The sequence below is a fragment of the Homo sapiens genome, chromosome 18 (assembly GCF_000001405.40).
Source record: "Homo sapiens chromosome 18, GRCh38.p14 Primary Assembly".
NCBI classification, from domain to species: domain Eukaryota; kingdom Metazoa; phylum Chordata; class Mammalia; order Primates; family Hominidae; genus Homo; species Homo sapiens.
In genome coordinates this window covers 56880524-56896184 of record NC_000018.10, presented here as the reverse complement: position 1 = coordinate 56896184, position 15661 = coordinate 56880524, and the positions used below count along the sequence as shown (strand labels likewise).

At 36.2% G+C, this 15661-nt stretch overlaps 1 protein-coding gene across 11 annotated transcripts in view; it reads right to left on the bottom strand.

Moving 5' to 3' along the window:
• WDR7 (WD repeat domain 7) overlaps nucleotides 1-15661 on the bottom strand; it is a 385248-nt gene that overhangs the window by 140422 nt on the left and 229165 nt on the right. The gene's annotated exons all lie outside the window — the stretch shown is intronic.

Genomic DNA, 15661 nt, shown 5'->3' with positions numbered 1-15661 from the left:
TCAAAATCTCTTTCAGTAAGATTTTAAATTTTTTTCTATAAGTCTTACATATTTTTTGTTAGGTTAATGCTTTGGTATTTTATATTTTATAATATTGTCTAGTTGATTTACTATTATCTACCTCAAAGGTTACAATGAGGATTATATGAGTTAATATTTATAAAGTGCCCAAAATAGTAACCAGTATATTGTCAGCACTACATGTGTTTATTGAATAAAACAAAATAAATCATATATTCCATTTATCTCTGGTATATTCATTTTAGAATAATTTGGCCTAGTTATTATAAGAATGATGAGATTTTGATTGTGATTGTGTACAATGTGTATATTAATTTGAGAGCAACTGAGATATTTGCCATATGGAATCACCCATCCAAGAAATGCAAACCATTTACTCAAATATTATTTTAGTTCCCTCGGTAGTATATTCTGTAATTCTTTTTTTCTCTTCATTTTTAATTTTTAATTTTTATGGGTACATGGTAGATATACATATTTAGGGGTACATGTGATGTTTTGATACAGTCATACAATGTGTAATAATCACAACAGGAAAATGTATTTCTTAAGTGTATTCTTAGCTATGCAATTTCATTTCGTAGCCATAATTGTTGAGTTTTTTTTTTACTATTAAATTTGAGCATCATTTTAATTTATTTTAACCACACAAATATCTATTCACTGTAAAAAAAATTTTTAAAAAAATCCAAGTGTATCTAGCAAATTTTTCCTATCCCCTAATGCTTTTGGTAATTGGGTAAGTTGAAATTGTATTGTCATCTGCATTCCTCCTATGACAAAATGCCTACCTGTAGCCTTTAAAAATTTTTTTTTGTTGTATTTTACTTCCCGGTTTTTATGGTCTTACTAGTTAGAAGGGTCTTTCAAAAAATGATGATTTTTTACATTTTCTACTTTGTTCACTAGTAGACAGAAGTTACTCATTTTTGATTATTTATCTTGCTGATTGACATATGGATATCCTTGGTTTTCCAAATATACAATTACAAGCTGTTCAATATTTATAACTCTTATTTTGCTACATTTGCTAAAATGTCCATGCTAAATAATACCATTAACATGCTACTTGTTAGAATATATCTAATGTGAACCGACTAAGGATGACGTAGCTTTTAGTTTCAGCTTAATATTCTGTATCATGCTAATGAAAGTTATTCTACTCATTGTTTATTAAGAGTCCTTATGTGGAAAAGATACTGAATTTTAAAAATGTCTTTTTTATTTTTTACTTCTGTTGAAATAATCATATATTTTTTCCTTTGACTACTTGTATACTTTTTATATTGGACAATATATCATACCATGAGTGTCCAGTTAACAGACAATACACTTTCAAAAAGATTAGCAAACTAATCTCAGCAGTTACATAATCAAAGAGAAAGTTTCAGTTAAAATGTAAGATACTACAAGGGCTGCTTTATGTATAAGCACTTTAGTTTTCACTCATTACTTCAGTCGTTGCTCAACAAAATAGACAAAGATTCATGACTTGGTAGAATAACTACTGTAAATAGGTAAATTATATATAGGATGTTGGAAGGCAACAAATACTTTAAAAAAGAAAGTATAGAACAATATACAAGGGACTGGATATGGGGGAGGAAAGGCAGCAGTTTGCAGGATTAAATAGAGTGATCTGGATAGGTCTCATTGAGAAGTTGAAAATTGAGCAACTGCTTGAAAGAAGTGAAGGAGTTAACCAAGCAGGTATCTGGGGGAAAGAGTGTCCCAGCAGAAGGAGTGACTAGTATGCCTGAGAAGCAGCCAGGGCACTGGAGTAAGCAAGGTGAAAAGTAGGAGAAAACTGAGTTCACATAGTGCTTTTCAGGGCATGGGGAGGACTCTGGCTTTTAGACCCTTGCAGAATTTTGAGCCAAACATGGATGTGATCCACATTAGGTTCTTAAAGAATCACTACCACGACTGCTATGCTGGAAGGGAAAAACGGTGAGGCAGGAAGCCTTCGCAGGAACCCGGGTAAGAATGAAGGTAGGCAACCCTGATGCTAACAGGAAAGGTGGTGAGAAATAGCTGACTTTGGGATATATTTTCAAGTAGACCCAATAAGATATACTTGATAGATTAGATGTGTTATGTCAGAGAAAAAGAGGAATTAGGGATGAACCTAAGAAACTGGAAAAAATGAATAAGCATCAACTGAGACAGGGAAGGCCACAAGTAGAATAGGTTTAGATGGGAAAACCAAGAATTTTGACTATTATTGAGTTTTTGAAGGCTATATAACATCTAGTTTTCAAAGTTTTGTCAATTTTTTAGGAATCTACCCCTATTTTTGCAGATACAATGTGATGTCAAACACCAACTTCTAAAACACACATGCACAAATCAGTTCTGCTGTTCTTGAAGTAGTGCGAAGGGCCTAGGTAGCCACTGAGCCATCTCCATCTAACCCCAGGGTTTTGAAGAATATAATTTAAAAACCAAAGGTATAAGGAAAGAGCCATACATTTATTGATTTCACACAAACATTCGAGTCCTCTAGTGGACTTGGGTCTGGCAGTGTCCAGTTGAATTGGGTAGCAACAAGAAGTCCATGAGCACCTACCGTTTGACACACAGGCTAAAGGGCAAAGAAACAAAATAGACTTGGACTCCCTACCATTCAACAAAGTCTTAAAAATTGTGTTTTCTAAGGACATGGCAGGTGGTCTACAAACAAGTTCACAAAATGTTTCTATATACCTCTTACTGAAAGGCTTTTTAAGAGAACCATCAAAAGCTCTGCAGTTCTTAGAGGGATTAACACTAGATGTTCATGGTCCTTTCTTGATAAAAAATTGTTTGAACTTATAGAAACTTCAATACTTTAATTACAGAGATCCTGATGCACTTATATATTAAGACATACAAATATGAAGCCATCACTCTGCAGGACTGTCAGAAAACTACAGGCCAAGTTTATTTAAAAATTAGGAACCACAATGTCCTAATGCAGAAAAAAAAAAAGTCACCAGCAAACAATGTGACCCGTTATTAAATTGGCTACAAAGGCAATCTAGTGACAAAGAATCAAAAAAACTGAACTAAAATGAAAAATTGAATCAAAGTAACCAGTATATACTTTAGGTGGCTGGCAGAAAGAGTCTTGTACCATGCTGCATCACATTCTAGACCAAAAAATTATTATAAAGCCTTCATACTACTTAAATTCCTATAAGGGTACAGTTCTCATTTTGCTTTTACTTATAAATATTGTATGTTGTATAACAGCTTTATAATTTTTAACTGTGATCTCTACTTGCATTACAGACCCTGTCTTGATGATGTAATCTCATCTAAACTAAACTAAAACTATCTAAATGTTACTACCACGGATGTTATATTTAACTACTGAAGTATCTTCTTCATCAAAGTCACCTCAAAGCCCTTTTGCATATTAAATGTCAAGAAACGACCATTAACAGACTTTTCAAATGATGTACAGTAGGGATTGGTAGTTTTCTGTTGTCTTTTTCCTTTTGTAAAAAGCCAGACAGTGAATATTTCTGGCTTTGCAGGCCATACGATTTCTATAGCAACTACTTGACTCTGCTGTTTTAGCATGAAACAACCATTAATAATACGTAAACACATGGGTATGGCTGTGTTCCAATAAAACTTTATTTGCAAAAAAAAATGGGAATGGGGCCACGTTTGACATACAGTTATGGTTTGCTGATCTGTGGCCTATAGTACAATTATATTCAACATAACACAAGTATATGAAGCTGAACATGTGTGGAAAATGAGTTATGTAAAGGACAGACAGCAGAAAAATACTTTAAAGATGCTCAGCTTCAAGCACATAGCATAGCTATGGACTACTGGAATGTATAAAAGCAGACAGAACAACTGGTATAGAACAATTAAAGTGAGATAGGCAAGTTCAAGTGGCAAAATAAATACAAGCACTCTACAGTTAAAATAATACATCACATTAATTTCATAGAGGTCTATAATTTCAGATGGAAATGGCCTTAGAAATAGCTTTGTGTGAATTACTTGTTTTCTGGAAGAGAAATTCAAAGTCCTTAGTGTAGTGGCTTAACAAAAAATGGTTGCAAATTAAAGTTATTTTTGGAGAAGTAGGATGAGATTACATCATCAAGACAGGCAGGGTCTATAATGTAAGTGTCAGATCGCAGTTAAAAATGATAAAGCTGTTATACAACATATATTATTTACAAGTAAGAGCAAAATGAGTAGCCAAAACTTCCATCCAATCTGAACTTAGTATGCTGATGTGGTTGAAATGAGAAATAAGGTAATAAACATACAGAAATTCATCCAAACATAAATAATTACAAAAATATTTAGTGTTATATTTAAACATATAAAATGTGTATGATAATGTGGCCAAAGAAAAGTATATTTTTACACAAATCCTCTGAGAACTAATGTATTTTACCACAAACAGTGAAAATCAGTATATGTTACAGAAAAGAACAGCATGAGCTTTGGGGGAAAAATGCATCTGGATTCAGAGTGTTTATAGGACAGATAACTTTAAGGAATTTACTTGATTTTTTAAGAATATCAGTTCACTTATATACAAAATGGTGATAATACTATCTACCTCACAGGGTTCTTACGAAGATTAAAAACTATATACAGATTTTAAAGAGCTATTTCCTTTCCTTATTCTTCTACAAACACATTTAACAACAACAACAACAGAAACTAACATTTATAAGTACTTATATGTCAGGCATTTTTTTCATGCATTGATTTACTTAATCCTTACAATAACTGTGAGGTAGGAGCTACTGTTATATACTATTCCTGTGTCTTAGTTAAGGAAATCGAGCCACAAAGTATTCAAGGCCACACAGCTGTGATGTGGTGATACCAAGATTCGAAACCAAGCTCTGGTTCCCAAATAACAAAATCACAATAAAAAGGCTGAACTACCTAAAGAATTAGTTCTGAAAGTAGTATAAATGTCATGTATTCACTCTGATTAGTTCCCGTTATCTCTTCCATTTGAAAATGTAAAGAAAAGGTATAATTTGTGCATTAAGGTAGTTTAATGACTACAGCTACCATAAAATACTCAATTTAAAATAACTGTAAAAGATTCTAGATTCTACTGGGTCTCTCTACTCTGGCTACACATCAAAATTACATATGAAGTTTTAAAAAGAATACAGATGCCTGAATCCCACCCCTGGCTTTCTGAATAGGAAGACTACCTAAATGCTCAGATACTCACATTTTAAAAACATTCTGCAAGTGATTTGAGTACATAGCTTAAGTGAAGAGTCACTGTCTAAACACAGATGTAATGGTGATGTAAGTCCAGTGGCATCTGCAACCAGGATGATTTTCAAAGATAAAAATACAAGTGAGAGGTGGTGGTAAGGAACATGGGACGCTGAGTTAGTGCACTGAGAACAAACAAGTCAGAGAAGAGAGTAAGGAGCCAGATAGGAAGGCCAGATTCATTCCAAGTGCCAGGATGGCCAGGTTGGAAACACAAAGGAAATCAAACAGAAATGCAATCTCTATGGCCACAGCAGCATTTCAGCAACACAATCTGATAACTATTTGTGAATGGTAAGAATATCTGTTCTTTTGCTATTGCTTATCTTTGCAAATGGCTTGTCATTGTTGCTACTTTTTAACATAACTTGCAACTACCACTAGTTTTGTTATTAATTGCAATTCTGTGGCATTGTCGTAAGCTTGCTAATAAAACATTTGAAATTTGGCTTCACTTTCTTCTCTTAAAATCTAGGAAATAAATTCATTATAAAATCAATCTCAACCTATATTAACCTATTCATTAAATAAAATATGCATGATTAAAAAGCACAGGGAGTACTTGGGGGATCATTTTCACAAAGTACACTACAACAAAATAAAAACCAAACAGCACCAGAACAATATAAAAATTGAAATACAAGTTCATAGAATTGCAATATCCCTTAGGCAGAATTGAGGCTTCCATTTAGTGGTGCAGTGTTGTGGCTGAACTAATCTGTAACTATATTGTTTTAAAAAGTCATAATAACAGGTAAGCAATTATTTCAACAAACTCCTGCAGTGGTTCTTATCCATTTTTATTTAATGGCCTTCTTTTGAGAACTTCATGGAATCTGTGCATCCTTTTCCTAGGGAAAACAGCAACAAAAACAAAAACCACAAATGCACATAAATGTGGCTTTTTCCATGTAATGGCAGGTAGATCATGTACCTTGGCCAGCATTGTAGTATTTCTAAAGACTCACTGTGGGAAAAAATTAATTATCTCTAGTGTATCTCATACCAAAGAGAAAGCCATTCCTAAAGCCCAGATATGTGAATTTTTTATGTCTATGCATATCCATAGCAACAGCACATTCCTAAATGAAAGCTTCAATAGATGTCCGTATTCACAGGTGACCTGGTACTTGCTGGCATCCCCTCCTCTCTTCTCTGTAGCAGCAGTTCTGAATCTTCTTTATAACACACAAAAATATGTGGAATGGTGAAAATATGCTGCTTTAGAGTTAGAACACAGGTGTTTCAGTCCAGGCTTCGTACTTTTTAGCAGTGTAATCTTTTTAAAAAATTTAACCTATGCCCTCAATTTATTGTCTGCACAAAGTTTAATCCAATTTTAGAAATCTTTAGTAAATATATTCAGTGGTACTAAGCAAAGCTTCAGTTTCTTCATCTGATAAATGAGAATAGCAATGGTACTTATTTGATAGGACTAAGAGAGTAAATAATACACGTCAAGTATACAGCAAAATGTCTGGCAAACAGTAAATGGTCAATGATCAGCTATTATTAACATGCCTCATATTGTGCTAAGTGTTGGACAAAAATGTCTTTCAGGGTAACAAGAGATATGTATGGAGTTGGAATTAAAAAGGTGTTAAATAAATGACAGTTTCTTCCTCTCTCCATTTGTTAAAATAGAAAGAGAACTGGGACACACGTAATTTAGTAGCATGCTGCAGAGGAAGCTGGCAAGGTTGCCCATCTCCTCCCCATCATGACTGAAGTCCCCACTTCCCTAAGTTCTTGTGTCTGTGGCTGACAAGTCTCAGTGGAATCCCTCTGTGGGCTTTGCCCTAGGATAAGGAAAGCTGCCTTATCCAAAGTTACATCCCCTTCCTAGGCCTCCCAACCCTTTTCCAATCCAATGACTGACTGACAAGGGGATATTAAAGTTGAGCCCTGATCCCTAATTCAGGACAAGTCTGAAGGGTCATCCCAGCTCCAGAGTTCCCCCAAATCAACTGAGGCCTTCTATGTAACTAAAACACAATTCAACTTCCCCCTCTGCCTAATCCTGTTTCACTCCCCTTAAGATAGACATTGATCCTAAGAATACCCCTGCACACAAATCTGCCTCGGAGTCTGCTGCCTCGGGAAATGACTTACGACACTTGCCCAAAGTCAAAAAGCTAATGAGAGAGCAAAATGGAATTTACTACAGATGTGCCAGCATAATTCCACAATTATAAAATGAGCAGAAGAGACCCAATGAAAGAATGAACCAAAAGACCTATAAGGTAATGTCATAAATAATACCTTAAAACATTCTAATAATGCCTCATTTGTGGGTTGGAATAAAAATGCAGAAGGATCTCCACTGAAGTGTGCTGATATAAAACAAGACAGCAGCCATCCCTGCATGGAGAAGAAAATCGGAAGGTGATGAAGGAGATGAATTTCCTGAAATGCTTTGTATTTCCCTTCAGGAGCAGAAGACTATTTGGACCAAAAGAAGTTTTAAAGTCAGAATAGCTCCTGCCTTTTATTTTATGCAAGAGAATTCTGCAACCCAGAGGGATACATAGCTTACCCAAGGGCACAACGTAACACTAGCCTAATCTAGGCTTCTCATTAATCTTCAGAGTCCTTCAGCTTCGTCTTTGACATGTGATTTCAATATATGTAAAGTGTAACTCCCATAAAAGATTCATCTATGTTCAAAAAAGTATAAGATACGTTACAAAACTAAGTATGGCTTTTGAATTACGCATCAGTGTCATTCCTTCCTCCCATCAATGTGGATAACTGGGGTTTCACTACATTATGGGTTTTCACAGAATGCTTCAGGAGGAAGGTTAGAACTCACTATCTATGCCTCTAACTACATTAGCAATTAAAGTTCATTAAATATTGTATCTTAATGGCCTTATCTCAAAATGAGGATAATAATTATTCTCTCATTCAATAGGATGCCATAAAGAGTAAATATTTAATGGTAGCAATGCATTCTAAATGCCACATAAACAAACATGACAATACATGTAACAGCTTCCAGCAGGTTAACATTATAATAGGTTAATATTACACATGACTGATCAAAAAGAGTACACGTAAGACAGAGGGTCATTTAGACATCTAATTGTTTTCAAACAGGAGAGCAAGATTTAAACTGATAAATTTAAATTTAATTAAGACATCCCAATTCAAATAAGAAAGGTCTTGAAAATCCCTGTGGTTGGCAAAATTACCATCAAGGAACTTAAGACCTCTGAGGAAAAAAAAAAATAGGTTAATGGGATAAAAGTTAAAAGCAAATCCATGTTTACCTTTAAAATATTTTTATAGCAGTTAAAATAAAATAGGCTAAGAACAAGAAAGGAAAAAAAATATCAAGGACATTCTACACATTTTAAATTGTTTCTATGAGGTACTATATCATTCATTCTGATACACTATTCCTTGCCTGCTAGAAACTTCCCAAAATCGCTCATAAATAGAATTTACTAAGAAGCATTGCAGTCTTCCCTTCCCATATCTAGTCCTTTATTCAAAATGCTCAAAGAACAGGCCAGGTTCTAAAACACTTAAATATTTAAAATGTTTGCATAAATTTTATTTATCTTCATTGGGAAAGTTGAGGAGAAATCATGCAAAAGTCCCTCCCCATAGTGCCGTTCAGCCCAGGTTGAGCTCATGCCAGAAATACACTCCAGAACCCCTTTCCATATAGTTCAACTTCCTGTCTTTTAACAATCCAAATGAGCAGTCCTAAGGCCCTTCAGTTCCCAAGATTTCTTTGAAAAATATGTTTCTACTCTGCCACAGCTTTTCAAATCCCTTTTTTCCCCTAATTCTTTCCTCTTTTTCTAGTGATAGTAGTAACAATTTTCAAATAAAATTATCACAGTTAGTGGAGTACTGAAGTCCCCCATTATTATTGTGTTGCTATCTCATTTCTTAGTTCTAGTAGTAATTGTTTTATAAATTTGGGAGCTCCAGTGTTAGGTGTATATATATTTAAAATTGTGATATTTTCCTGTTGGGCAAGTCCTTTTATCATTAGATAATGTCCCTCTTTGTCTTTCTGCTGTTGCTTTAAAATTTGTCTGATATAAGAATAGCTATTTCTGCTTATTTTTGATGTCCATTTGCATGGAATATCTTTTGTAGAAAAAGATATCCGCTTTAGCTTAAGTTTACATGAGTCCTTATGTGTTAGGTGAGTGTCTTGAAGACAGCAGAAACTTGGTTGGTGAATTCTTATCCATTCTGCCATTCTGTATCTTTTAAGTGGAGCATTTAGGCCATTTACATTCAATGTTAGTACTGAGATATGAGGTATTATTCTATTCATTGTGCTATTTGTTGCCTGAATACCTTTTTATTTATTTTTGTTTTGTAGGTCCTGTGAGATTTATGTTTTCAGGAGGTTCTATTTTGGTGTATTTCAAGGATTTGTTTCAAGATTTAGACCTTTTAGCAGTTCCTGTAGTGCTGGCTTGGTAGAGGCAAATTCTCTTAGCATTTGTTTGTCTGAAAAAGACTTTATCTTTCCTTCATTTATGGATCTTACTTAGTTTTGCTGGATACAAAATTCTTGGCTGATAATTGTTTTGGCTAAGGAAGCTAAAGGTAGGGCCTCAATCCCTTCTGGTTTTTAGGGCTTCTGCTGAGAAATCTGCTGTTAATCTGATAGGTTTTCCTTTATAGGTTACCTGGTGCTTTTGCCTCACAGCTCTTAAGAATCTTTCCTTCATCTCGACTTTAGATAACCTGATGACTATGTGCCTAGGTCATGATCTTTTTGTGATAAATTTCTCAGGTGTTGAGCTTCTTGTATTTGGATGTCTAGATCTCTAGCAAGGGTGCAAATGTTTTCCTCGATTATTCCCTCAAATATGTTTTCCAAACTTTTAGATTCCCCTTCTTTCTCAGGAACACCAATTATTCTTAGGTTTAAACAGGAGAGGTCATTTAGGTCTCAGGTCATTTAACAAAATGCCAAACTTCTTGGAGGCTTTGTTCATTTTTAAAAATTCTTTTAAAATTATTTTGTCTTTGTTGGATTGGGTTAATTCAAAAACCTTGTGTTCGAGTTCTGAAGTTTTTTGTTTTTTTTTTTTTTTGAGACAGAGTCTCGCTCTGTCGCCTAGGCTGGAGTGCAGTGGCGTGATCTCGGCTCACTGCGAACTCCGCCTCCTGGGTTCATGCCATTCTCCTGCCTCAGTCTCCCGAGTAGCTGGGACTACAGGTGCCCGTCACCATGCCTGGCTAATTTTCTGTATTTTTTTTTTTAGTAGAGACAGGGTTTCACCGTGTTAGCTAGGATGGTCTTGATCTGACCTCGTGATCCGCCCGCCTGGGCCTCCCAAAGTGCTGGGATTACAGGCATGAGCCACCGCGCCCAGCTGAGTTCTGAAGTTCTTTCTTCTGCTTGTTCGATTCTATTGCTGAGACTTTCCAGTGTATTTCACATTTCTCTAAGCATGTCCTTCATTCCAGAAGTTGTGATTGTTTATTTGTGCTATCTGTTTCACTGAAGATTTTTCCCTTCATATCTTATATAATTTTTTTGATTTCATTAAGTTGAACTTCACCTTTCTCTGGTGCCTCCTTGATTAGCTTAATAATTGACCTTCTGAATTCTTTTTCTGGCAATTCAGAAATTTATTCTTGGTTTGGATCCATTGCTGGTGAGCTAGTATGATCTTTTGGAGGTATTACAAAACCTTGTTTTGTCATATTACCAGAATTGTTTTTCTGGTTCCTTCTCATTTGGATAGGCTATGTCAAAGAGATCTGGGGCTCAAGGCTGCTGTTCAGATTCTTTTGTCCCATGGGGTGCTCCCTTGATGTACTGCTCTCCCCCTTCCACTGTGGATGTGGCTTCCTGAGAGCCAAACTGTAATGGTTATTTGTCTTCTGGGTCTAGACAGCCAGCAGAGCTACCGGGCTCTGGGCTGGGACTGAGGCATTCTGCACAGAGACCTGTGATGTGAACCGTCTTCAGGTCTCTCAGCCATGGATACCAGCACCCACTCCAGTGGAGGTGGCCAGGGAGTGAAATAGACTCTGTGAGCATCCTTAGTTGTAGTTTTATTGCACCAGTTTTGTGTTGGTTGGCTTCCAGCCAGGAGGTGGTGCTTTCAAGAAAGCATCAGCTGTGGTAGTATAGGGAGGATCAGGTGGTGGGTAGGGCCCTAGAGCTCCCAAGTGTTTATGTCCTTTGTCTTTGCTATCAGGGCAGGTAGAGAAAGACCATCAGGTTGGGGCAGGGTTAGGCATGTCTGAGCTCAGACTCTTTTTGGGCCTGGCTTGCTGCAGCCGTGGTGGGGGATGGGAGTGTGGTTCTCAGGCCCTTCTAGACATTGGCTTAGGGAAAGACTTCATGACCAAGAACCCAAAAGCAAATGCAACAAAAACAAAGATAAATAGATGGGAGTTAATTAAATGAAAAAGCTTCTACACAGCAAAAGAAACCACCAGCAGAGTAAACAGACAACCCACAAAGTGGGAGAAAATCTTCACAATCTACACATCTGACAAAGGACAAATATCCAGAAACTACAAGGAACTCAAACAAATCAGTAAGAACAAACAATCCCATCAAAAGACTGGCTAAGGACATGAATAGACAATTTTCAAAAGGAGATATACAAATGGCCAACAAACATATGAAAAAAATGGTCAACATCGCTAATTATCAGGGAAAGGCAAATCAAAACCACAATGCGACACCACCTTGCTCCTGCAAGAATGGCCATGATCAAAAAATAATAGATGTTGTCGTGGATGTTATGAAAAGGGAACGCTTTTACACCATTGTTGGGAATGTAAACTAGTACAACCACTATGCAAAACAGTGTGAAGATTCCTTAAAAAACTAAGAGTAGAACTACCACTTAATCCAGCAATCCCAATATAGGGTATCTACCCAGAGGAAAACAAGTCATTATATGAATAAGATACTTGCACACCCATATTTATAGCAGCACAATTAGCAATTGCAAAAATATGGAATCAGCCGAAATGCCCATCAATCAATGACTGGATAAAGAAATTGTGGTATATATACACACCATGGAGTACTACTCAGCCATAAAAAGGAATGAAATATTGGCATTTACAGAAATCTGGATGGAACTGGAGACCATTATTCTAAGTGAAGTAACTCAGGAATAGAAAACCAAACATCGTATGTTCTCACTCATACGTGGGAACTAAGCTATGATGTCTCAAAAGCATAAGAATGATACAATGGACATTCAGGATTCAGGGGAAAGGGTGGGAGAGGGGTGAGGGATAAAAGATTGCACACTGGGTACAGTGTGCACTGGTAGGGTGATGGGTGAACCAAAATCTCAGAAATCACGACTAAAGGACTTATTCATGTAACCAAACAACACTTGCTCCTCCAAAACCTATTGAAATTTAAAAAAAAAAAACAAAAAAACAAGACTGAGAGATTAAATGGACTTTTAAAAAAACTGTAAACAGATAAAAATTTAAAAAATAAAATTATTACAGTTAAAAGAAAAGTCATATAGAAGCTAATTCACAAATAACACAATTTTGTGTAAAGATAAACTGTGATTAGAAAAGTGATGACAACAGTACTCTCTTACATAACTAGGATAATGAGATGTAAACTAACCTACCCAGCATCCAGCCCAGAGCCTGAATGCAACCAATCAGCAATTCATTTATTTACCACCTTCCTGCTTTTTTTTTTTTTTTTTTTTTGAGACGGAGTCTCGCTCTGTCGCCCAGGCTGGAGGGCAGTGGCGCCACCTCGGCTCACTGCAAGCTCCACCTCCCAGGTTCACGCCATTCTCCTGCCTCAGCCTCCCGAGCAGCTGGGACTACAGGCGCCTGCCACCGCATCTGGCCAATTTTTTGTATTTTTAGTAGAGATGGGGTTTCACTGTGGTCTCAATCTCCTGACCTCCCGATCCACCCACCTCGGCCTCCCAAAGTGCTGGGATTACAGGTGTGAGCCACCGCGCCCAGCCGTTCCTACATTTATATACAGATATTTGTACTAAGCAATGGAAAAATTCTAAATGAAACAGCATTTATTTTCACTCTCCTTGCAGGAAAATATCAAATACAAAAGGATGGTGTTGAGAAATTACACAAAATATGTTAGACTTAATCAGTGGTCTTCAAAATAGGTAACCCTCTTCAAACAGGAGTATATTAAAAGTTTCAAGGAATAGGTAGTTTTAGAAGCACAAACAGTTTAAGACCTAGGTATTTTAAAGGAATTGATTTCTGGGTGCTAAATTTGCTAATGAACTCCTTCCCTAAAACTGTGAGGGTAGAAATTTCCACTTCAAAGAAAATAATAAAGGATTTAAGATTTCTGATTTTTAATGGGAAGTTTGTTCAGGTATTTATTAAAAATTGATGATGATGGATATGAAATAGTTAAATATTCTACTGAATATATTAGAAAGAGCCATAAGTTTTATTTTTAAACATCAATATTCACAATCTCCTCAAGATACTGTGAAAATATATTTTGCAATTAAAAAGTTGTAGCTGTCAACATAAAATGTGCAAAGGATTAGACATTTCTTGACACTCTCAGGGAGTTATTGAGCAAAAAAGTTTGAAAGCCACCACACCAAATCATGTCAAAGCTTCATTAACCTCTAATAGTCTAATGCCAAACTTCTAAATAAGGACCTGCTCTACATATGTTAAGTCCTGGGCTGTCTGAAGTGACAGATAAGCTAGACTAATTAAAGAGCCCTTTGTAGAAATGGTGAGATTTAAGCAAGGTTTTAGGAATGGATAGCAGGGATCTTGAAGAACTTGAGAAAAGATAAATAAGCCCGAGTGGGGAGGTAGGAGCCAGTAAGCATGTAGTTGTTGGCCGTAGAGGGAGAGTAATGTGCCCAGGTGGAGAAGGGAAACGGTTCTCAGGTCGCAAGACACTTGAGTTCAAGTTTAGGTTTTACTACTTTTTGGCTGAGTCACTTTGAAGAAGTCTTAAGTTCATTTTGAAGATCAAATGAGGGGAAAGACAGGAAAGAAAGTGTTTTTTAAATTGTAAAGTTATAGCCAGGTGCAGTGGCTCATGCCTGTAATCCTAGCACTTTGGGAGGCTGAGGTGGGTGGATCCTTTCTGGTCAGGAGTTTGAGGCCAGCCTGGCCAACATGGGGAAACCCCGTCTCTATGAAAAATACAAAAATTACCCAGTCATCGTGGCCTACACCTGTAATCCTGGCTACTTGGGAGGCTGAGGCAGGAGGTTGCAGTGAACCAAGATCATGCCACTGCACTCCAGCCTGGGTGACAGAGAGAGACTCTGTCTCAAAAAATAAAATAAAATAAATCAATAAATTGTAAAGTTACAGCACATATTAGTCATTAAGCCCTTTCCAACTGGGAGCCACTGAATAGCAGCAGTTTGCATAATGGTCAAAAGCATGAACTCTGGAACAACAGACTAGATGGAAACAAAAACTCCTTTCCCAGAGGTATGATCCTTGCCAGGTTAACTAAACCTCTCTATGCCCCACCAGCTTTATGCATAAAATCGAGATAAGAGGGATCCACTTTACAGGGTTATTATGAGGATGAAGTGAGGTAATGCATGTAAAGAGCTAAAAAAAAATAGTGCTCATAATAGTTGCATCATTATGGTTGGTGGTGGTATTGTTTAAATTTAAACGTTATTACTCTGATTCTCAAACTGAGATCAAGAGATTATCACTAATAAGTATTTGTTGAATGAAGTCTTTCAAAAAACAGTTATAGGAGGGGCAGCTAAGTCTATTGAAGGGCTTTTATAATAAAAGTCACTAACATGGCCCTCAGTTTTACAGCAAGAGTATGTGGCAATGGTCCAGTGAAGTTCACTGCTGTCATAAATAACAAAGTAACATGCATCTTTTTCTCTTGCTTAAAGGCCAAAAAAGCAAAAGGATCTATTGCATTTTGTTCTACAAGAATATTTTGTGATGTATTCAGTTGGACTATATTTGTTCCTTAAGAGGACACAATTTATTAGAAATAATTTTGCTATATGGTGCCACATGCCACTCTGACCTTACTGAAAGGAATTCTGACACTGAAGAACCAAAAGAGCTTATTTTAAAGCACCCTTACCTATTATTAACATACCAAGCACAGAACCAAAGAGAGTAGAATGACACAGCCCTTTGAATTTTGATTGTTATAGTCTATAGTCATTTAAAAACTGTTACTGGAATATTTTTTAAATTACAGGGTTAATTCATAATTCATCATGTATGCTCTTTTTCATAAACCCATGTATTATTTATATGTATTATCACATATACAAATTTATTAATATGCCCATTAATTTAACAAATATGTGTTGAGAATTTATTTATTGAAAGGAGAATGAATATATTTTCTTTTCAAAAGAAAAGACTGGTGTTCCACCCCAGTCCT